Source organism: Homo sapiens, chromosome 11 (assembly GCF_000001405.40).
Source record: "Homo sapiens chromosome 11, GRCh38.p14 Primary Assembly".
In the NCBI taxonomy this organism is placed as follows: domain Eukaryota; kingdom Metazoa; phylum Chordata; class Mammalia; order Primates; family Hominidae; genus Homo; species Homo sapiens.
The window spans coordinates 90199203-90223050 of record NC_000011.10 but is presented as its reverse complement, the minus strand read 5'-3'; the positions used below and the strand labels follow the sequence as shown (position 1 = coordinate 90223050).

General features: G+C 35.3%; 1 protein-coding gene across 5 annotated transcripts; it reads left to right on the top strand.

Annotated features, from left to right (window-relative positions):
• The first annotated feature begins 1 nt into the window (after position 1).
• Positions 2-22622, top strand: CHORDC1 (cysteine and histidine rich domain containing 1). Of its 5 annotated transcripts, none has more exons than NM_012124.3 (11): positions 2-160; positions 4867-4916; positions 7821-7877; positions 8876-9033; positions 11733-11836; positions 12457-12515; positions 16779-16849; positions 17486-17591; positions 19624-19743; positions 20176-20238; positions 20500-22622. In NM_012124.3, exons 1-11 carry the CDS (start codon positions 97-99, stop codon positions 20644-20646), a joined length of 999 nt encoding a protein of 332 aa, NP_036256.2. In that variant the 5' UTR covers positions 2-96; the 3' UTR covers positions 20647-22622. The 5 variants fall into 5 exon arrangements, with proteins under 5 accessions (NP_036256.2, NP_001137545.1, XP_047282723.1 ...); XM_017017541.3 differs by lacking the exon at positions 2-160 and adding an exon at positions 352-522; NM_001144073.2 differs by lacking the exon at positions 7821-7877.
• Positions 22623-23848: the final 1226 nt, after the last annotated feature.

Genomic DNA, 23848 nt, shown 5'->3' with positions numbered 1-23848 from the left:
CAGTCGTCAGACCGGTGCTAGCGACACGGGAGTGGCAAACGCATCCTCTTGCCGTTCCCGGTGTTTGGGCCTTGCCTGTGACGGTGGGAAAAGAAAATGGCCTTGCTGTGCTACAACCGGGGCTGCGGTCAGCGCTTCGATCCTGAGACCAATTCCGACGGTAAGAGGAACGCGCCGCCAGCCCTCCCTCCCCTCCACCTCATCAGCAGGGGAGGCCCTTTGGGCCGGAGGGTGTCCGCGGATCTCCTGCAGCCGTCCTCGCGCGGCCCCAGGTCCATGCCCCTCCTGGGCCTCCCTTGGCTGCCCGCGCAGCCCGCCGGCCGCCCCTCTGTTGCGCCGCGTTCCCTTGGCGAGCGCCCGGCCCCGGCGCCTGACTGTCCTCTGCCACTGCGGAGAGAGACGCTCCCATGGATCCACGTGTTTCCCCCGTCGTCCCCGCACTCCTTTTAAGTCGCCTGGAATTTAGAACGAACACGTTTCTCCTCTGGCCCTCCAGTCTCTGGGGAAGCAAAAATTAACGAGGTACTGGTGAGCTTGCTTTGTAGTTCCCGAAGTAGTGATGGCTGTGATTGCCTGCGCGAGAGGGAGAGGTGGCCGGGATGAGCAGCGGGTTGTCCTAGCATGTAAGCTCTGCCTTGTAGAAGTTTGTGTTCAGTCGATCCGCTGTTACAAACCTCTTACAAGTGTTCTTGGTAAGGGACATTACTCTGTATCTTCACGCTGTTTTGATAGGTTCATCCTGGTGGTACGTTAGTTATCTTTTTATTACTAGCGGCATTTGTTGCTTGTTCTTCTTGTGGCCTCCACGTTTTACTACCATGCCTACTCCCGTATAAAATGAGTGAATGTCATCTACAGCACCTAGATGTCGAGTTAAGGATCCAAAGCGAAAATGACTATTAGGTGAAGGACGGGAAATGATCAGTGAATTGAAATTTTGATTGACAAAGAAGTGAGATGATTCCTTGCGTATCGTGAGAAGTGACAACACGTTTTCAGATTGAACTAGCATTTAGTTTATATTTTCTGCATGCCAGCCATTATTGCTTTATCTTATTTAATCTTCATAACCACCCTGGGACGCATGTAATGTTAATTAGACCCATTTGATAGAGAAGCTCAGTTCAATGAGGTTGTATTAATAACATCCTTCATTATTGTGGAGGAGATGAAAACTGATGCCTTTTGAACTCTTCACCTCTGAGATGTTTGAAATACTTATTTTTGGCACACAGGTAAATTGATAGCGTTATTTAAAATAAGACCATTGATACAGAGTTTTAAGGAAAAGGAAAATCCAACCTATGCAATACTCAAGTTACCGCCACTGACATTTTTATGATGCAAATATGATGCTACTCATGAGGAAAATTGTGAGATTTCAGTCGATGACAAAATCGAGAAACGATTTTAAAGCCCTTTGGTGTTGGCAGCCTATGTAAAACATTAATTGCACTTATGTCTGCAGATATTCTACTTTAATATAGAATACAGGGGAAAGACTGACGCTTTGCTTATGAGACAATAAAGTTCAGGGGCGATAGTCATTTGTTGGAAGTCTGTATCCATGTGTGAATTGGTGCAGTGCCTAGGAAACAGAAAGCGACCAGGAAAACCGTCTCAAAACTTGGGTGGTCAGCAGTACTAGTTACAGCAGAGAAATTCCAATAAGTATATTTACTTTAGCGAAATGACGGTTTTTTTAGAGACTTAGAATACATTTTTCAAGTAAACTGATTGAGTGAATGGAAGGAGAAGAAAATGGAGATACGGAGTAGGAGACAAGAACTAAATAGAAAGGTTGGTTAGGAGGTTTTTTAGGAAGAGGTTTGACCTTGTACAGTTGACAGAAATAAGTTAAAAGAGGTAAATACACAAGCAAGTTCCATTTTGCGTAAGCCAGATGTTGGATCTGTCATCTTTAAATATTTCTTAATCTACACTAAATGCTTTTTTTCTCGGTGCTGTGGCATAATTACCGTGCTCGTTGACTTATAGTCTCATGATTTTTTTTTCCCCCTAGAGACAGAAATTAGACTCCCTTTTAAGCTGATAGAACGTTTTAACTTGTAACTGAAGTTAAAGGGTGTTTAAGGGAGACACAGTTGGTAACTTACATATGTTAAACACTTATTCTAGAATAAACACAGCTTCACAAACGGTATTTTTTTTAATCGACGTATACGAGGAAAACTGAAGGAACTACTAGCGAGTAGCTCAGTGAGAAATTTAGCCAGGGTCAGACCCAATGTTAGAAGCCCTGGACACTTAACCACTGCTACTGTCTTGTAGCTTCTCACCCATAAAATATTAATTTTGCCAAAACTCTTAAAACTGATAAAGAAAGGATGGATATTAAAGAAAGAATGAAGAATGTCCATTTGCTTGTTACTTCTTGTTTTTGAAAGCAGTGGCTTTCTAATTGTGTTCATGTTAGTTGTATGGTTCAGATCTGACTCATTCCTGCTGCCATGCTGCCAAAATTGACTTATTGTGACATTTTATGCCTCTGACTCTGTTATACATTGCGTTTATGTTTCTGACTACTTTAAATTTGGTGTTTGAAAATACTGGATCTATTCTCTACTTCCATTCCCCTCTCAACTTCATGTCCTTCTGCATACCCATTTCTACTTCCAACCTCCTTTTTCAGCCCTTAATTCCACAACTACCCTTAATTAATAACATCTTTCTGATCCCACGGATTTACTTACTGTATCAGGAAGATACCTAACACTTTCTACATTAGCTAGTATCTATGCAGCACATGGTTACTAAGGAAGCAATACTGGCTAGTAACGGGGTAGGGAGATTTCTGTGAGCACCAGTAGTAAATTTTGAGGCAACACCAGGAATCAGGTGATAGAGCAAGGGTGTTCAATCTTTTGGCTTCCCTGTGCGACATTGGAAGAAGAGGAATTATCTGGGCCACATTGGAAGAAGAATAATTGGGTCACATATGAAATACACTAACACTAATGATAGCTGATGAGCTTAAAAGAAAACAAAAACAAAATTCATAATGTTTTAAGACAGTTTACGAAATTTGTGTTGGGCTACATTCAGAGTTGTCTGGGGCGGCATGTTGGACAAGGTTGTTGTAGAGCATTGAAAGCTAAATAGACTTGAAAGGTTGAAAGATAGTCTTTTAAGCAGATTGCAGAGGGATGAAGCTGACTGTTACCTGATTTTTAAAAATATAGTACTCCATCTTGCAAATTGCTGAGAGCAGCTTGGTCGTGGAGACCCTAACCCGGTGGTGCTAGAGGAATTAAAGACACACACACAGAAATATATAGTAAGGAGTGGGAAATCAGGGGTCTCACAGCCTTAGAGCTGAGAGCCTCCAATGGAGATTTACTAAAAGTATTCCTTACGGGAAATAAAGGGATGGGCTCTGGCTAGTTATCTGCAGCATGAACATGTCCTTAAGGCACATATGGCTCATGCTATTGTTTGTGGTTTAAGAATGCCTTAAGTGTTTTTCCGCCCTGGGTGGGACAGTTGTTCCTTGCCCTCATTCAGGTAGACTCACAACCTTCTAGCCTGGGCATCAAAGCCGTCACGAGCATGTCACAGTGCTGCAGAGATTTTGTTGATGGCCAGTTTTGGGGCCAGTTTATGGCCAGATTTGGGGGCCTGTTCCCAACACAAATTGTAATAAACCCATTTACATAAGAGAAGTAAAGATTGATGGTGTAGTGGGGAGGGAAGTATAGAATAACACCCAGTGAGAATCTAGAAAATAGGCTGTAGAACTTGAGAGTTTTTTTTGTTTGTTTTTTTTAAGATGGAGTCTTGCTCTGTCACCTAGGCTGTAGTGCGGTGGCATGATCTTGACTCACTGCAAACTCTGCTTCCCAAGTTCAAGCGATTCTCCTGTCAAGATCCTGAGTAGCTGAGACTACAGGCATGCACTACCACGCCCGGCTAATTTTTGTATTTTTAGTAGACACGGGGTTTCACCATGTTGGTTAGGCTGGTCTCGTACTCCTGACCTCAGGTGATCTGCCTACCTCAGCCTCCCAAAGTGCTGGGATTACAGGCATGAGCCACCAGGCCCACCTAGACTTCTATTTTTTTTTTTTTTTTTAATTAAAAAGTAAACTTTAATGTTGAAAATGCACACTTGGGGAAGGCAGAAAGATCACACACAAGGCTGTCACTTCACACTTGGAAGGTTGCACAGTGGCCAGGCAGAGGTGCTCCTCACTTTCCAGACAGGGCTGCCGCCAGGCAGAGGCACTCCTCAGTTCCCAGACTGGGCGGGGGCAGGGCAGAGGAGCTCCTCACTTCCCAAACAGGGCAGGGGCCAGGCAGAGGCACCCTAGTCTTCTTTTTAGTGAGGTTTGTACCTAGGAATGACTGTGTCTAGGAAAGTTAAATTACCAATTAGATACTGCAAAAAATCTTTACAGTATTTAAAATGTTGAGCCTGTTATTACAAAATGTCTTTAAGGGAATCTCTTGTGAAACCTTTATGGATGAATGCACATAAGAATACTTCAAGTTTGATAGTACATTTGTAAAAGCAGGTTTGAAAAATGATGGTCAAAATTTGGGGGTTTGAAGTTTTGGTACTAAACAAATTTTACTACCAAGATTAGGGGAATATAAAATATAATTGTTATACATAAACAATTCTGTATTTTTGTCCTTAGTCATCATATGCTTGAATTAGAATTTTTAATACTATTTTAATATAGTACACTTTGTGCTGCACGTCAAACTCAATCATTTGTACCTTTTTAAGGTACTTGCGTTTGGAAAAAGGATTAAAGGTTAACACCTTAAGGAGATGATCATGTATATATTTTTCTTCATTATAAAGAGTGGTACTTTTTTTTTTTTCTCTGTTTTCTCCAGATGCTTGCACATACCACCCAGGTGTTCCGGTCTTTCACGATGCATTAAAGGTAGGAACTATATTTTCATTTTTTTCATATCTGTGTAGTAAATTGAGAGATGTAATACTAAATCTTTATTTTCTCATCTTTTTTTCTCAGCTAGTGACTTTCTTCTTAATGACCTTTGCGGGGGAGGTGCTTTAAGCGTATACTCCACTAAAGACAAAGAAAAGACAGTAGATGATGATCTTAAGGTCTTTTCCAGTTATAAAATTGTATTTTAATTCTGGGTTTTTTTTTTTTTTTTTGAGATGGAGTTTCACTGTGTTGCCCAGGTGGAGTGCAGTGGTGCGATCTCAGCTCACTGCAACGTCCGCCTCCTGGGTTCAAGCGATTCTGCCTCAGCCTCCTGAGGAGCCGGGATTACAGGCACCTGCCACCATGCCCAGCTAATTTTTGTATTTTTAGTGGAGACAGGGTTTCATCATATTGGTCAGGCTGGTCTCGAACTCCTGACCTCAGATGATCCACCTGCCTCAGCCTCCCAAAGTGCTGGGATTACCATGCCTGGTCTTAATTTTCATTTTCTACACCCATTTCTTCACTTTTCTAATTTTGAGGGAAAATAGAGTGGTTGTATTGAATCTCAGTCTGTCACTACTGGCTAATAACAGCTCTGAATTTTAGAAAAGATTCTTATAAACATTTAGTGCCAATCTCGGGACAGACCTGTGAGTTTTCCAGCTATACTTCTTGGATGTTCTGGAGAATTGGTGGAATGTTGTTTGACTAGGTTTTTGCTGGTCATCTTTTTAAAATTCATGATAGTATGATACATTTAAAGAGTTTCCTTTGTATATCTCAAAAGATGATGCTGTGGTAGGGCTGCCATGGTTTTAGGTTCTACTTCTTTGGTTCTCAGGAACATAAGCAGTCTTAACATGTTTAAATATTGTTGGTGCCCTTTAAATGTCTAATTATACCTTCCAAAGAGTAGTTAGACTGTTTTGGCACTTCACTGTTAACACCACCAAATCTAACAAAAGATGTATTAGTCTGGTTAGTTCTGAGTGAGGAAAACAGAGAAGACATTCAGTAGGGCAAGTTGAGACCTTATTCCTCCATACATTTTTTTAGTTTTTACAAATCTTTGTTGTGGTGGAAACTGTGGTGCTGTGGAAATGTTTATTTTTCTTTTTGTGGAATTTTATTTTTCCTAGACTGCCATTTCTTCTGATATTTTTGTTTTACTGTGTCTTTTTCTTTTTTTCCCTATGCTGTTTTCCTCTTAGCTCTTAAAGGTAACCTTTGGCTGTTTTCTCTCATTCAGTTCATTCATTGGTTTTCTCAAATGTCACCTCTACGCCGATGGCTCTTACAACATATTTCTATTTATGTGTCTCATTGGCAACATCAAACCAGTTTCTAGTGTGTACCGTTTATTCCAAAAGTAGTCTGCCTCTCAACTTTACTGCTCCTAGTAATGATACTACTGACTTTCTGATCATTTGGTCCATTGCCCGTTTTTTCTCTTACCGCATTGTTAATCACTCCAAGTCTTAATGAATTCACTTTGAAGTATTTTTGCTTCTCTCTCTTTTGCAGTTGTAGTGTTTATTGTGGTCTCTATTTTATAACCATTTCTTAAAGTCCTAGACTTTCCAAGATTATTGGATTTCACAGTCCAGAAGATTTCAGACAAAATGCGTATACATCAATACAGGGATACTAGTTGACCAAGTAAGAAGTTAAACATTGCATTGACAAAAGAAATACTATTTTAATATTAGAAGGGGCATATTCAGAGAAAAGGACAATCTTGCTGAAAAAAGACAACTAGCAACCTTATATTCACATAACTTAAATTTATCTTTCCTTTTCTCATTGTACTGAAGACTAGCATAGAATCCAGATTGGCATTTGGGAACAGCTGGCCTGTATTGTATTTTACATGTGTGTATCACAGTATCTGACATAATTTAGTACATGATTAAGACAGTAAAACTTTTTCTCTTATAGAATAACTTTTCTGTTGACTATATTATTGATGCTATTTAAACCCTATATTTAAGGTTGTAGTAATTGATCTACATCTCAATTCGGAGTAAAAGATAATTAAATTTCAAATTAAAGGAAAATTTGAATTATAGGATATTTGAAATTACCTTTAAAGAAAAAGAACCTACAGGTGCATATAATGAGAAAAATCACTACCATATTTTTATGCAGTCTTTTGAAAATCAGCGAGGTCCAGGCGGATGTGTGCAAAGTTGCATCTTAATCTGAATTTAGTCCCAAATCTTAATCTGAAGTTCCAAGTTTTGAGATTTTGCATTTTTGTTTCCCTATGCTCTATAAACATTGGAATTTAGAGATAATTATTAAAGCCATTTTTTGGTAAACTACTTGATAGTTTGTTCAAAAATCACAAATACTAATAGTTTCTCTGTCTTTATGCTTCTCACTGAAAAGATCACCTTCAAAGGCTTAATAGTGCTTTAGCTGCTGTGTTAATTAATCTTTGTTGTTCTGAAAATAGAATGCTTATTGTGAAATTAAAATTAACTAAAGATAGTTACTATCTTTAACTTAATAGATTTTAAAAGTAAAATACCTATACTTATTTTGAATATTCTTTAAATATGATAGTTTTAGGAATTATAACATGTTTTTCTTCTAAAAAAAAAGCAGACACGATTGTTGAAAAGAGAAACAGTTTTTGTTTTATAAAGGTGCTTCCCTTGATGATAGGGCATAGCACAAATCACTTTAACATTGGTTAATTGGCTTTTTAAAAATCAAAGATTAATATTCATTTTACTTGATTAGGTGAATTATATGCAACACTGAAATTTTGCACTCTATACGCAAGTTACTGCAGGATTCAAGTAGATAAGTGCAAGTAGAGTGTTTTAGTGGGTCGTGTTTCTCATGCAAATAGAGTTTTTAGTTTCCTTCTCTTGTTTTTCATAGGGTTGGTCTTGCTGTAAGAGAAGAACAACTGATTTTTCTGATTTCTTAAGCATTGTAGTAAGTACTAATTATTTTTTCTAGATTATCTTCCTAAAAATACATGTTATAGAAAGCTTCAGATTTGAGGAGTCTGATTTCTGATATAGATTGATTGGTCTTCATCAACTTGCAGATAACACCTTTCAAAAAGCAGCTCATCTCCCTTCCACAGCTTGTAAAATAAAGAATCTGTTTTGGAAATTAACGTTTTAAGGTATCAGTTACCTGCTTATCATTTTAGGTTTGTTCTTTCTGTTATGTTGAAAGAACATCAAGGAGAAAGTGGTAAGCAACAATTTAAAGCCTTTTCAGTTAGGAACGATAAAGTTTTATCTAAGATGCTGTTGAAATATTTTACATACCACTTTTATATAAAACCACTTTATATACCACTAAGAAAACTAAAGCTACTAACAAACTGATAATGCTATTGATTGTATCATTTCAGAGGTGTTAAAGAGTATGTATAATTCAGTAGAATGTAGTAGAAAAGTAGCTAACGTTTGTTGAATGTTATCACCTGCCAAATGTGCCAGGCATTTTATTATTTAACTCTCTCAGAAAATATCTTACCTGACATTACCTCCATTTTACAAATGAGGAGATGGAGGTTTAAAAAGATTATCTTGCTTAAGGTCATATAACTAATAAGTATGTTGAGAACTAGGTCTCAAATTGAGGCCTTTCGAGTAACAGATTTTTCTGTATAACTATTTTTTACAGTTCTTTGTGAGATTCTCCAGAATTCTTCTGTAAACAAGAGGTTTATGCCATATTTTTAATAGAATAAGTAGATGTTTATGAAGTGTAATTCAAAGACTTTTTAAAAAAGCCGTCATTCAGAGATTCAGCAAATATGGCAAATTTGGAGTTCTGTTTTTAATTTCTTAAAATCAATGTATTGAAACTGGAGAAAACATGAAATAGAATCACTATCAATAAAGAACTGAAAAGATAATATTTCTATCATGAAATGTAAAATAGATAGCTCTTAATGAATTATCTTTCACTAACAGGGCTGTACAAAAGGTAGACATAATAGTGAGAAGCCACCTGAGCCAGTCAAACCTGAAGTCAAGACTACTGAGAAGAAGGAGCTATGTGAATTAAAACCCAAATTTCAGGAACACATCATTCAAGCCCCTAAGCCAGTAGAAGCAATAAAAAGACCAAGGTATACTTTATACAGTTACATATTTTTGTCACACTTGAATAGTAGCACTTGTGCATGGTACTTTCCTTTATGATTTAGCATGATACCATTTGTAGCTACTATGTAGGCCACCAAGCTTTGAACCATTTGGTTTCTCCCTTAAATCTGCCTTAAATTTTTATTTCTCTTCAACTTGAGAGCATGTACACAATATAACTACATAACAGATTTGCATATTGTACTGTCATAATTACAGGGACATGTATCATCAGGGTAGGGAAGTCACATTTTTCTTGTGCCTTAGAGTGCATCTTTTTCACTGTGGCATGGTAAAATTCTTTGAAGCAGTTTTCCTTTTCATGGCATGAGTTTGAAGTAGAAAATAATGCAGAGGCCTAATCATCCATCTTTACTTTCAGATGCCTGAAAACTACCGTTAATCTCATTACTACTGGTCAATTTTTAATGCATTTGATTTAGATGACATATTTGTGAAAGTAGTCTTAAAAAAGCGTTTGCTCATTGTGCAATAGAGTTGTACAGATTCTTCATACTTGCCTTCTGATAACCAGACTCTGTATTCCCACACATGTATATTGAGTACCTTTGTTGAACCAGGTCTTCTTCGTGCTACACTTGAGTACTAAATTGTTTTAGAAGCAAACTACAGGACTTAAAAAAAGGTGATTTTTTTTTTTTTTTTTGGCTGCAAGTAGGCACTTATTGTAATTTTTATTCATGCTATGAACTCATGATTTTCCCTTTATTCTCCTTTGATCCTACTTAAATAAATTTATAGAGTATTGAATAATATAGAACCAAGATAAGAACCCTAAGAGACTTTAGATGTTTATTTGTTCATTAGCACTCTGAGTACAGATTATTGCTAAGGAAACTACTCAGGATGATTTTATTCTCTCTCCATCTTCATAGTTAGAGGAGACCATTGAATGCTTTGGCCAGTTTAGCAGTTAGAAAAATAATTGGGAAAAGACAAAACTTCAGTCATGGCTCATTCTTAATCTCTTTAGTAATATAATACAGTCTGTACTATAATAGTATGAGTTAATTTTTTCTTTAAATGATGGGCTGTTATTTTACTTAAAGGGCAGTGAGAGGCCAGGCACTGTGGCTCAAGCCCATAATCCAGCACTTTGAGAAGCCTAGGAGGGAGGATCCTTTGAGCCTAGGAGTTTGAGAACCAATCTGAAAGAGATCCTGTCTCTCCAAAAAAAATAAATTAGCTGGGTTTGGTGGTGTGCTCATGTAGTTGCAGCTACTCAGGCTGAGGCAGGAGGATCTTGAGATTGACTTTTTGAAAAAAAAGGACAAAGGCAGTGAGATGAGAAAAACTAAATATTTTATCCTAAATTCATTTGGTGGTATTATAACAATTATGAGGATATCAGTTTTTACATACTTTTCTTTTTTTTAAGAAGAAAAGTCCCTCTCTTACCCAGGCTGTAATGCAGTGGCATTATAGCTCACTGCAGCCTTTAACTCCTGGGCTCAAGCCATCCTCCTCCCTAACCCTCCCCGGAACTATAGGTGTATGCTACTATGACTGTATTAGTCCATTTTCACAGTTACGAAGAAACACCCGAGACTAAGTGATTTATAAAGAAAAAGAGGTTTAATGAACTCACAGTTCCATATGGCTGGGGAGGCCTCACAATCATGGCAGAAGGTAGAGCGAGTAATAAAGGAATGTTTTACATGGTGGCAGGCAAGAAAAAAACCATCAGAACTTCTGAGACTTATTCACTATCATGAGAACAGCATGGGAAAAAGGCATCCCCATGATCCAGTTACCTCCCACTAGGTCTGTCACACACCATGTGGAGATTAGGGGAGCTAGAATTCAAGATGAGATTTGGTTGGTGACACAGGGAAACCATATCAGTGACCGACTAATATTTTTTATTATTTTGCGGAGACAGGGTTCCACTTTGTTGCCCAGGCTTCAAGCAGTCCTCTTGCCTCAGCCTCCCAAAGTGTTGGGATTATGGGCATAAGCGACCATGCCTTGCCTATGTACTTTTAAAATGCCTCTTTTGTCAGTTTTTTCATCGAGGATATAGAATGAATAGCCTACGATTTTTATTTTTATTGCTGTGTTTATTAATATGTTTAATACTTATTTATTGAGTGGACTTAAATTATGTATACAACACTTAGCCATTATGAAATGTTAGAAGATGTTGTTTTTTAAACCCTACTGAAATTGCCTTGCAATACGATCGTATCTGAATTTACAGATCCATATGCCAGTGTCCACATAAATTATCTCCACTGGTAGAAGTGAGTATGGATTCACTTAGAACTTACTTATATTTCATGTTTATTATGTGCTCAGCATTGAGCTTGGGCATGGGATGTAAAAGTACATTATGGTCCCTTCCTCAGCATTACTCATCTTGAAAACCTTGGATTCCTAGTCTTTATTCCTTTCTCGTTAGTGCAACTGATTAATACTTAAATATGCTGACAATAGCGTGATTATTTGAGACTTACTATTCTAATATAAGGAGCTTTTCTGTTAAGACAGAATGTAGATACATTGTAACAATTATTTATAAAATACCTTTTAACCTTTTAATGGGAATCATTTGATACACAAAGCATTTGGCTTCTCAGAAAGCTTTTAAGGTTATTAATTTGGAGTACAAAGAAATATTTTGGTATATTAATAATGGTAATAAGGTTTCAAAATTCTCCAGCCCAGATGAACCAATGACAAATTTGGAATTAAAAATATCTGCCTCCCTAAAACAAGCACTTGATAAACTTAAACTGTCATCAGGGAATGAAGAAAATAAGAAAGGTAAGATTTTATTTTGTTTTATTGTTAATTATTTTCTGGTACAGTTAAGCAGTTATCCAAAAGAGAGAATAGTAGTTTACTGCATATAAATAGGGAAAAGTCGCACATTGTAGTTAAGAAACTTTTTCTTCTAAATGTCAGATATGATAAACTACAAATACTTCAGAACCTAATAGGTTAATTCCATATGTCTTTATTCAAAACGAGAACCTATATTAAATTTTTTTTCTTTTATGGTTCATTATTTTTTTAAGAATCAGCTAAATTTCTTTGATATTTTAAAATGTTTTCTTGTACATTATACAAAATATATTCACTATTCTCTGACTTTATACCTGGTACCATGGGAGGAAAACACCCTTTCATGATTTATTTTACAAAGTTAAGATACTGGATATAACATTTTGTTATGGAAAAAATTGTGTCCTGCATTGTTGAAGACACCAGGTCCTCAAAAGAAGAAGAAATGTGTCATATATCAATTTGGGGATATAAGCAAATCCTAGTCACAGTCGTTTTCTAAAAAGTATTGTTTTCTGGAAAAACCTAGTTTTTAAGAATGATGCCACAGCGAAGTTCTATTTTAACTTTTTAATTTGATTTTTTTTTCTTTGTTACAGAAGAAGACAATGATGAAATTAAGATTGGGACCTCATGTAAGAATGGAGGGTGTTCAAAGGTATATATCACAAGATTTGTGATGTGTTATGAAGTAAAATTTTAATTTTGAGGAAAGTGCAGTTTGCTGACTCAATTCAACAAACATTTGCATGCATATTATATATTGAACATTATGCTGGGGACTAGGGCTACAATCATGGATAAGAGACTCTGAGTAGCATCATGTCCAGTAGAATAATGAAAATAAGTAATTCCAATTCACTTAACATTTACTGAGCACTTATTATGTGCCAGACATTTTATGGGCTGGAGACATAGTATCAAATAAAGCAAACATTTCTTTTCTTATGGAGCTGATATTCTAGAATGGGGAGAAGAGCAACAAATAGGTAGTTAGATATTACAAAATCAGGATGATAGGAAGAAAATAAAACATACTAAGGAGTGCTTATCAGCAAAGCCCTTCTTGACATAGTAACACTAAATCAGAAATCTTCATGTTGCACTGGATGGATTATGTAAACCTGGGTGAAGAGTGTTCTGGATGCAGTAACATGAGCAGAGGCTTTAGAACTTGGCTATTCAAGGAATAACAAGGTCTGTGGAGCTTGGGCAAGGGTAGCAGGTAAGACAGGTAGACAGAATTATGGTGGTTCTTTTAAGCCATGATGAGGTATTTGGGCTTTATTCTAAGTATTAGGAGAAGCTATTACTTGCTTTAGGGAAGGGTTTTAGAAAGATTCTGTGACTGGTGAATGGTAAATACATGGTGATGCAGCAGGAGTGGAATTGGAAGAAGAGAAACCAGCTAGGATGCTATTGTGGAAGACCAGACAGTGGGATTGGAGAGTAGTTTGTTGAGAAGTGATTAAATGTGGGATGCGGTCAAACATACCAGTAAGCCATTTTCCTGCCTCTTGCTACTTGATATAAAACTTGCATATCCTCCAACATTTCTTCTCCCTCTCCTTTTTTCTCCATCGCTCTTAATCACTTTATATTACTTATTTTGTATACTTATTTTACTTCTGAGCTATACCATCTAACCCCCATGCTGAGTAAAAGTTGTGAGGATAGGGATTTTTTTTCTTTGTTGTATCTTGAATCCTTAGAACAGTGCGTGTAGAATGAATGATAGAATTTGAAAGTACAGAAAGTACAGATGGTTCCGAACTTACCATGGTGTAACTTAAGATTTTTTTGACTTAACAATGGTATTATCAGGCTATAACCACATTGTAAGCAAAGGAGCATCTGCCTGTATTAGCAGGATTTGCTAATGGATTCGATGTGAAGGGAATTCAAGCATCTGGGTGATTGGTGACACCATTAACCAACAAGGTGAAAATGGGGTGGGGGCAGGTTTATACTTTTTCCTCATGTTAAATTTTAGATCACTTAAGGAATGGAGATACAATTGTATTTACATGTATATGAGGTAGAAGTAGTAGATAAAAGGGAATTAGTAATTACTGGATTGGGGAAGGCAGTGCAAATGGTAGGGTAATAGAGGAAGATCAAGGAGAAGGTATCAGATGTGTTTTGAAAAGTGAATGACAGGGAAAACAGAGAAAGGGTATTTCAAGCGTAAGTAATAGCACAAGTATAGAGAAAATTATGTAATGGTACAAATTTGCTGCTGTGGAATTGAGATTAATAGAGATAAGTAGACCTGGCCAGATCCTAAAAGGGTTTAGTGATGCAGGGAAGTTAGATTGTACGTTAGAGTGTGGAGGCCATTGAAATTGAAGAATTTTTTAGTCTTTTTCATTGAAATATAACATTGAAGTTTGTTAAAGGATATACAAATATAAATTTGTAGCTCAAGGGATTTTCACAAAATTAAACACACCAGCAATGCAGAGCACTCCTTATGTGTTTTCTCATTCATTATCTTCCTCAAATGTTTTTCTGTCAGTCAACATATGTTTTTTCTGTTTCTGAGTTTAATGTAAAAATAACCATAGAATATGTACTTGTTTTTGTCGTCTTCTGCATAATAATGCTTGTTTTATTTATCTTTGTTGCATGTAGCTTTAGTTTTGTTTTTTTATTTCTTTAAGGTATGTCATTATTTGAATGTGCCACAACTAATTTCTACTTTATATTGTCCTTTAATTTTAAAAAATTGTTTTTAATAATGCTATTATGAACATTCTTTTTGAGATGGAGTTTCACTCTTGTAACCCACCCTGGAGTACAATGGTAGGCTCTCGGCTCACTACAACCTCCGCCTCCCGGGTTCAAGCGATTCTTCTGTTTCAGCCTCCTGAGTAGCTGGGTTTACAGGTGCCCACCACGCCTGACTAATTTTTGTATTTTTACTAGAGACAAGGTTTCACCATGTTGGCCAGGCTGGTCTCAAACTCCTGAACCTCAGGTGATCCACCCGCCTCGGCCTCCCAAAGTGCTGGAATTACAGGCGTGAAGCCACCGCAGCCGGCCTATTATGAACATTCTTGTGCATGACTTTTGTGACACATATACACATTTCCATTTCTAGTATTTTGGATTTTTTTTTTTAAATTTTGGCATATGTGCATTATACTTATCAGTTAGTTCAGCATCCCTAATCTGAAATGCTCCAATGAGCATTTTCTTTAACTGTCATGTTGGCTCTCAAAAAGTTAACAGATTTTTGGAGCATTTGAGATTTTGGATTAGGTATGCCCACCTGTATATCTTTAGCATTAACAGATACTTCCACATAGTTTTCCAAGGTGGTTGTATTTGTTTACGTTTCTACCAGCAGTATGTGAGGCTAGTTCAACTTGTCCTATGGTTTCTTAACATTTTGTTATACGAGTTTTTTTTGTTTTTTTTTTTTTTTTTGTATTTTAACCATTCTAGTGTGTGTATAGTGTTTTGTCATGGTTTTGATTTGTACTTCCCTAATGATGACTGCTTTTTTGTATGTTTATTAGCCATTTGTATATCCTCTTGTGAAGTGTGCAGAATCTTTTACCTATCTCTAATGTCTCTTGCTTACCAGTTTGTAAGAATTCTTTATATATTTTAGCTGTGACTCTTATCAGAAATTCTATGCTTTTTCACTGTCTTAATGACGACTTTGATAAACTTTTTATCAAATTGCTTTTTAACAAAATCCAATTTGTCCATCATTTTGTTTATGACTAGTGCTTTCCATGTTCTATTTAAGAAATCGTTGCTTACTTCAGGGCTGTGAGTGTTTTCTCATATGGAGGCACATTTAAATATGTAAATGACCTGGAACTGATTATTGTATAAGGTGTGACATGGATGTAATTAAAGAACTTTAAACAAAAGGGTGATAGTAATTTGATAATTAGTAGAAAATAGAAGTCGAAGGCTGAGAAATAGTAGAAACCTGTTAGTATAGTCTGATTGCTTAAAATCTGCTAGCTTATGAGGAAGATTAACAAATTAATATATTCAAGTCAAATTGATGAGATTTCATTATAGACTGCCTATGGGTGGAGGGAGAGGAGATGCTGAAGAGGAACGAATGGATTTTGCTTTGAGAAACTGAGTCTGTACGGTGCCATCAAATAATATGGGGAAAAGAATGGACTGTGGGGGCAATAGCATTAAGTTTAGTAGATGCTAACATACTGAGTTTTATGTTCTTGTGAAATATCTTAAGGAGAAATACACATCTAATACTGTACTTTGGATTTATAAAAGATAAACACAGAATTTTATTTTCTGTTTGTAGGTAGTGCTATAAATACAAAAATAGAAAATATACTACTGGCTACATCCATGTTTTATTAACATAATTTTTTGTGAATTCATCTGTAGAGCCTCCATCTACAGCAGCAATGGGGCCCGGATCTTCCAGACAAACCCTGGATATATATATAGGTCTGCAGCTCATTTTACCCTTTATAGGGATAAGAAATCACCATCACTCTAGAACTTCCAGAATTGCTTATTAGATTTCTCATATTATTTGACAATACTTACATGGAGTTTACTGTACACATAAGTCATGCAGTAACTGTATTTTTATTGAGAGTATTAATCCCTTGGTTTCAACATTGTTTTTGAAATTAGTAACTAAGTAAGTACTTGAATATGATTGGATGGGATCTCATACTCAAAAGGCTGAAAGCATCTTAATATGACTTTCTCAAAGGAACCTAAAACTTAACCAAGTCCAAAAGGGAATCATTTTTCATTTTTTAACAGAATGGCGTGGGATGGATTTATGAATTTTCTAGGTAATTGTCATTTAAGTATTTTGCAAAGTTCGTAGAGGTCACCAATACTGCAAATATGTATGAGATGTAACTGTAAGATACGCAGCTAATTTTTTTTCTCTTTGTTTCCTTTTTAGACATACCAGGGTCTAGAGAGTCTAGAAGAAGTCTGTGTATATCATTCTGGAGTACCTATTTTCCATGAGGGGTAACTTATGCATGACTTATTAAAATAGTTTATGGTAGAATTTAGAAAGTTAAACCTTTCTGTCTTTAAACATTGTTTGCCATGCAGTGTTATTAGGCATTTTACTTACATTGCCATTAACATCTTCACAATAGCCTACACAAACACAGGGGTTTGTATGTTGTGTGTTTATACATGAGAAAACAGAAACAAGGTTACAGTTCTTAAGTGGTCATTGTGATATAAACTGCCTGTTTTTCTTCATATTCTGTATTTAAAAGTGATGCTATTTGGGCTAAATGTTTTGTTTGAAGGACTGTCCTACACATTGCAGGGCATTTAGAATTTTGGGCCCTGGGGCACTAAGACAACATTATCCCAAGACGACCCATACTTTTCCGCATCCTGCAGTTGAGAGCCTCTCTTCTGTATTATGCTCTAGTTTATAGAAATGCAGCACTGTGTAAAAATCTTCCACTCTGTTTCCACATTCTTCCTGATATACTGTACATTCATTTTTAGTAACTTAGACACTTGTAAAATGCTAGAGTTTGTACACTTACTGGCTTATTAAAAATCAGATTTATCCCTAAAATACTTGTGGATTTAATTGGTTGTGAGATTTTATTTCTGAAGTTTTTCTGTGATAATTTAAAGGATGAAATACTGGAGCTGTTGTAGAAGAAAAACTTCTGATTTTAATACATTCTTAGCCCAAGAGGGCTGTACAAAAGGGAAACACATGTGGACTAAAAAAGATGCTGTAAGTAACTCTTCCAAAAATAGCACACTGGGTTTATATTCATCTGAGTCATTTTTTAAAGATTTGAAATTATTCTGTCTTTAGATTTTAAAAAAAAGTTTTCTTTTTTGCACCATAGAGCTTTGATGTGACTACGAAATAAAATGAATCTGAGTCAAGCTGCCAGTGTACTGCCTTTTGAGCAAAATAGCCATTGTCTGTTTTGATGCAAGCATGTGAGGTTTTGTGAAATACTTAAGCCTGACAAAATTGAAGAATTTTTGTCTTCTTTAATTAATAAAATTAGCTCCATGGCCTCTTCCTACTTTTTGTTTTTTAAAAATTACTTTTCTATGAATTTGATGACGTTAAACGTTTAGACCTCTGTTATTCTTTTGGCCACTTAAAACTTCAATCATTTACAGATGCACAAACACTCCATCTAGTGGCCAGAGAGGAGGATTGCAGTCTTGTTTCAGTGGAATTGTTTTGAATGCCTCTGCTTGCTAATGGGATATTTATCAAAAGGGGGGAAAAAAGCATCATTTCCTACTTCCCTGGACAGCTTTTTAAAAAGACTTGGGGGCTATGCAAATAATTTCCCAAAACCCCATTAAATTGTGAGAGGATGAGCAACTTATTGCTCAATAAGTTTTTGTCTGTTAGCTATTGTTAATGTATTTTATAATGTATTAAATTTTCAAATTAATTTAGAGATTTCAATATTTTAGTCTTCTGTAGTTGCTGCCCCTCCCCCACTTTTTTTTTTCTTGAGACAGAGTCTCGCTCTGTCGCCCAGACGTGCAGTGCAGGCTCACTGCAACCTCCGCCTCCCGGGTTCAAGCAGTTATCCTGCCTCAGCCTCCCTAGTAGCTGGGACTACAGGTGCGTACCACCACGCCCAGCTAATTTTTTTGTATATTTAATAGAGACAGGTTTTCACCATCTTGGCTAGGCTGGTCTTGGACTCCTGACCTCGTGATCCACCCGCCTCGACCTCCAAAAGTGCTGGGATTATAGGCGTGAGCCACCGCGCCTGGCCCTAGTTGCTTTTTAATAACACATGGTTGGATATTATAAAAATACCCTGAAGTTATAAAAATTCATCTACCACAAAACTATCAGAAATGTTTTTAAATAAAAAGAGTGTATTTTTTATAGTCCAAAAGTTTGAAAATTTTAGTTTGAAAAAATAAAATGTTGTTTTCCATTATGTTAAGTTTGGGAGTATAATCCTAGATAAAATGATGTAATTTCTCTTGTTTTTTAATGTATGCAGTTATCAAGTATTAAGTATCTAAGCTAGTAGCTAAGGGGAAAAATGTGAGTGATATATATAATTTAAATTTAGTTAATGTAATTTTATCAAAACGAAAATAGTACCTTTTACAACAGTAGTGTCTCAGTTTCCTGAATTATGTAACTAAATTGTTCTCATTTATATAACAAATCATCATTTGCCTCTATAAAAAAAAATACTGGTAGGGCAGTATAGTATACTACTGGTATGTAAGGATTATTTTCATAATCAGAAAATCCAAAAATCATTTGTTCTTTATTAAAATGGGAAGAAAGTAATAACTGGTCAGATTTTTTTCTTAGATTCTGATTTGTAGAAAATAAATAAGGTTTCTAGTGCATGAGGTTAAGGTGTTGTCTGATTTATCCCAGTAAACAAATGTCTTTCATTTCAGTCTTCAAAGAATGTTTTGATGACAGTACTTAGTAGGTTACAGAATGTTAAATTGGATTAAATTTAGTAGGAGTTCTTAAATTGTCTTTTTAGCTGTGTATCAATATTATGGCCCTGAAAGAAAAAAACAAAGGGAAGGAGTAAGTGTGTTCTGAAATCATAAAATTTATGAAGAATCTTTGTACCATGATATATTTTCTTGTTTAAGCCTCTTGGGAAATATAGAAGTTTTTTGCCCTTAAACATTAAGTGCTTAGTTGTTGTGCATGGTAGTTTTTTCTCAGATGGGTCAAATTCCTCTTTTTAAGAAATTAATTATGTGGCACTTTTTTAACTTACAGAGTTTCTCTTACATTACAGGGGAAAAAAGTTGTTCCATGTAGACATGACTGGCATCAGACTGGAGGTGAAGTTACCATTTCAGTATATGCTAAAAACTCACTTCCAGAACTTAGCCGAGTAGAAGCAAATAGCACATTGGTAAGTACATCTTATAATTTTGGGTAAAAGTTCTTTTCTATACATCATTCTTTATGTTACTGTATTTTAAAGTATTGTTTATATCTCAGCTGATTTGGGGGTAAGATTTTATAATGACTCCCATTAAAAAAAATTAAATTACTTCTATGAAACTATTTTAAATGAAAATTTCTGTATAGTAGACTTACTGCTGAACCATTCTGGAGATACTGTAGTAGATTTATCAAGTAATATAGTACTTAGTTCTCAATATGAAACTTGAAGCCAGTTATTCTTTTTTGTCAGTGGCTTTTCTCATATGAAACAATACAGTATTGGCAGTTTCTTAAAATAGCTTAATTCATTTTTGTCAGTCTTATTTTTATAATCAGTGTTTGATAGCATAAATCTTCAGTTTGAATTAGATCAATTAACTGTGTATATCTTTTTCAGTTAAATGTGCATATTGTATTTGAAGGAGAGAAGGAATTTGATCAAAATGTGAAATTATGGGGTGTAAGTATTACAAATTTATAAGAATTTTTTTTCTGATAACTTAGATCATTTGTAGAATAAAAGACAATTCTTCAGTAAACATTGATGCAAAGTATAGATGTATAACTTAACAGTGTATCCTACCAAAAAGTTTAAGACTAGATATAAAAGAGGCCTTTAGAAGCTTGGATTTGGGATTATTGGCATAAGCAAGTCTGATGTTTTCCTCTGAGACTAATAAAACTACTGAGGTTTCCTGTAATTCTCTTTGATATGTTACAGGTGATTGATGTAAAGCGAAGTTATGTAACTATGACTGCAACAAAGATTGAAATCACTATGAGAAAAGCTGAACCGATGCAGTGGGCAAGCCTTGAACTGCCTGCAGCTAAAAAGCAGGAAAAACAAAAAGATGCCACAACAGATTGAGTGGGAGATGGAAGGAAGGCTATTACATTATTTCCGAATTTTTAATACTGTGTGAAGTGGTGGCTTGCTGCTGTAATCTTTTGTTTTGTTGTTGTGTTACTGAATGTGGCATTTCAGGGTTAACATTAGGTTCTTAAAAGCCAAAGTCAGTTTGTCTTTTTGTGCCTCTCATCTTTCTTTTGTGTTATGTAAGATTGATTATTCATTTCTCCCTACTGGTAGGAACCATAGTTGTGTCCTATACTTGAAGAGGCTGGAAAGTAGCCCATAACCATAATTGCAGTATTTCTTTGTATTTCTCTGTTAAGCAAAGAAATATTAAGGAACATTTTTTTTATGTTTTTGTATTATTCCATAATTAGTAAAGCAAGATGAAATGTCAAATTTTAATCAGTTTTTTCATGGATTTGTGTTCTTACAGTACTTGAAAATATTTAAGGAAGAGATGAAGCTCTGCAGTTTTTTCTATGTGGGATGATTACTTTTTTAAGGAGGATTAATTCTGAGGTAGTATAGTAACTAAAGGGGAATATATGAATTGTTTAACAAATTAGAATTTGTTTACAACTACTTGAATTTTTAAATTATGTCAAAACTTACATTACTTGCCAAGCAGTATGATGTTATAGGAAACATAAATAAGATTACAGAGGTATCAATTTGGTTAAAATTCACCATTTTATAAGACTAAGCAATAATCTTAACAACCTCTTTCCTGAATATTTAAATGTGTTTGTATGGTGTTATGACTAATTGTTACTGATTTAGAGACTAAGCCCTCTTAAAACCTTTAGTTAAATATAAAAAGAAATTATATATATCTTGCCTCCCTGATGGAAAACTATATAAAATTGTAGACTTAAAAGGTTTGTGGAAATACATTAGGATATCAGAAAACTAAATATATGGAGTTGCTTTATGACTATTACATGTTAAATAAAAATAGCTTAATTGTTTTGGAGTTTTTTTTTAAAGTCATGAAGAGCTTCACAATTCTAGTGATACAATGTTGACTATATATTGTACTTTATATTAAATATAGGTAATACAGAATTAGATCGTTTGGATAGGTTTTGAGTTAGTGCAGAACTCAAGAAGAAAAATTAGGAAATATTCTGAAGGCCAGAACTCTGGAAGAACTTAGAAAGTTTGGGAATAAATTAAACTTATGTAGATTTAAAATTAAAAGGGGTTTATTTCCCAAACCCCTTGAGTCTTTTCTTTTCCTTGGTATTTATGGAATTCTTACAAAGAAAAATTTGCAGAAGTACTATTTTCGTGAATAAAACATATGTATCATTCTACTACCATTAGCAAATAACTTAGTTGTAGTTAATATAATTGTTAAAAGGTTTAGCTCTGTTACAAATAAAAACATAAAGATCTGGCAACCAGACTTTCATGATGTTACATTACCATGACAAGAAACTCTGGGCAGTAAAAGTTGGACCCACATGGAGTACATAAGCATCTGATACCTGGAGATGTATTTAAAATTTTTCAAGTTATCTTCCATGATTTAGGAACCATTTAGAGACATGAAGTCTTTATGGGTTGGGGGAAAGGTTGATAATTAGTTTGATTAAAGGTAATGATTAATATCCCTTTTTGTTCATACTTCCTTCTGAGGCTGTTTTCCCCTAAACAGTATCTTAATCTGTTACATGTAATTGAAATATTATTTGAAGCAGTGAGTTATTGTAACCTCAGATTAGTTACATTGATCAAAACATTGATTTATACACACACACACACACATACATATGTAGCTTTTATATTTAGTCTGGTTACATTAGTGACCATGGTATTTACTTTCTTCTTAAGGAGCCTTTGAATTTCTTGTCCAGATAAAAATCCGAATATTTCTCTTAGACTCATACATAAAGGGACACAGTTATCGTTAGGTAGCATATGTTTTACTATCGGTTTGTCAAAAAAGTTAATAAAAAGTGCTTATTGATTTATTTCTCTAGAAATTTGCTTTGTCTTTTTTAGCATTAAAAATAATTACTATAGCAAAGCAGTCAAAGTTAGGTATATTATATATATACTTGGTAACTAAAGATGGGAAACCTAAAATGCTATTTTTCTTTCATAGCACATTTACTAGTATAAAGGAAGTAAGATCCTAATAAACTGAGCCTTTATTTAACTTCTTTGACCTAGTTTTAGGTTTACAGAAAAGTTGTAAAAATACAACAGTTCTTTATGTCTTATATTAATCTTAATGTTAAAATCTTACGTTATCATAGAACATTTATAAAACTTAAGAAATTAACCTTTGTATAATACTATTAACTAAAGTAGAACATTTTATTTTTACCATCTGTTTTTAGTGGAATTCTTCAAGGTCTTAAGACTTGTCCTACTTTTTTGGTAATAATTTAAGCCAGTAATTTATAAACAATTAAGATATGATTAGGAATCAACAAATGTTTATAGGTTGAAGATGTAACTTCTTGGTGTAACTATACTGGCAAAGGACTGTAATGATTTTACTTTATTCTAATTTATATTTTATGCAAGGATTTAATTAAGAATTTTCTTCAGAAAATTATTCAACCATCAAAGTGTAGAGAAACTTAAAGAGTTCTTGCAAATATTTTAAAGGGACTTTGAGTTATTTCCCCTCTCCGAACTCCCAATTTTTTTTTTTTTTTTAATCAGTTATTCCTCAGCCTGAAAATTTATGTCATGCGTATACTCACAGTAAGTAAACTTTTTTTTTTTTATTTTTTTTATTTATTTATTTTTTTTTTTTTGAGACGGAGTCTCGCTCTGTCGCCCAGGCTGGAGTGCAGTGGCGGGATCTCGGCTCACTGCAAGCTCCGCCTCCCGGGTTCACGCCATTCTCCTGCCTCAGCTTCCCAAGTAGCTGGGACTACAGGCGCCCGCCACTACGCCCGGCTAATTTTTTGTATTTTTTTTTTTTAGTAGAGACGGGGTTTCACCGTTTTAGCCGGGATGGTCTCGATCTCCTGACCTCGTGATCCGCCCGCCTCGGCCTCCCAAAGTGCTGGGATTACAGGCGTGAGCCACCGCGCCCGGCCAAGTAAACTCTTAAAAGCTCATTTATGAGGGCTGGTGTCCCTTTTAGGATATATGGGTATGTACTCTGTAAATTTTGTTTTTAGCAGTCAGGTACTTTTAAATTATCTATTTGAACATTAACAGGGTTTTTTTTTGTTGTTCATCTTTTATG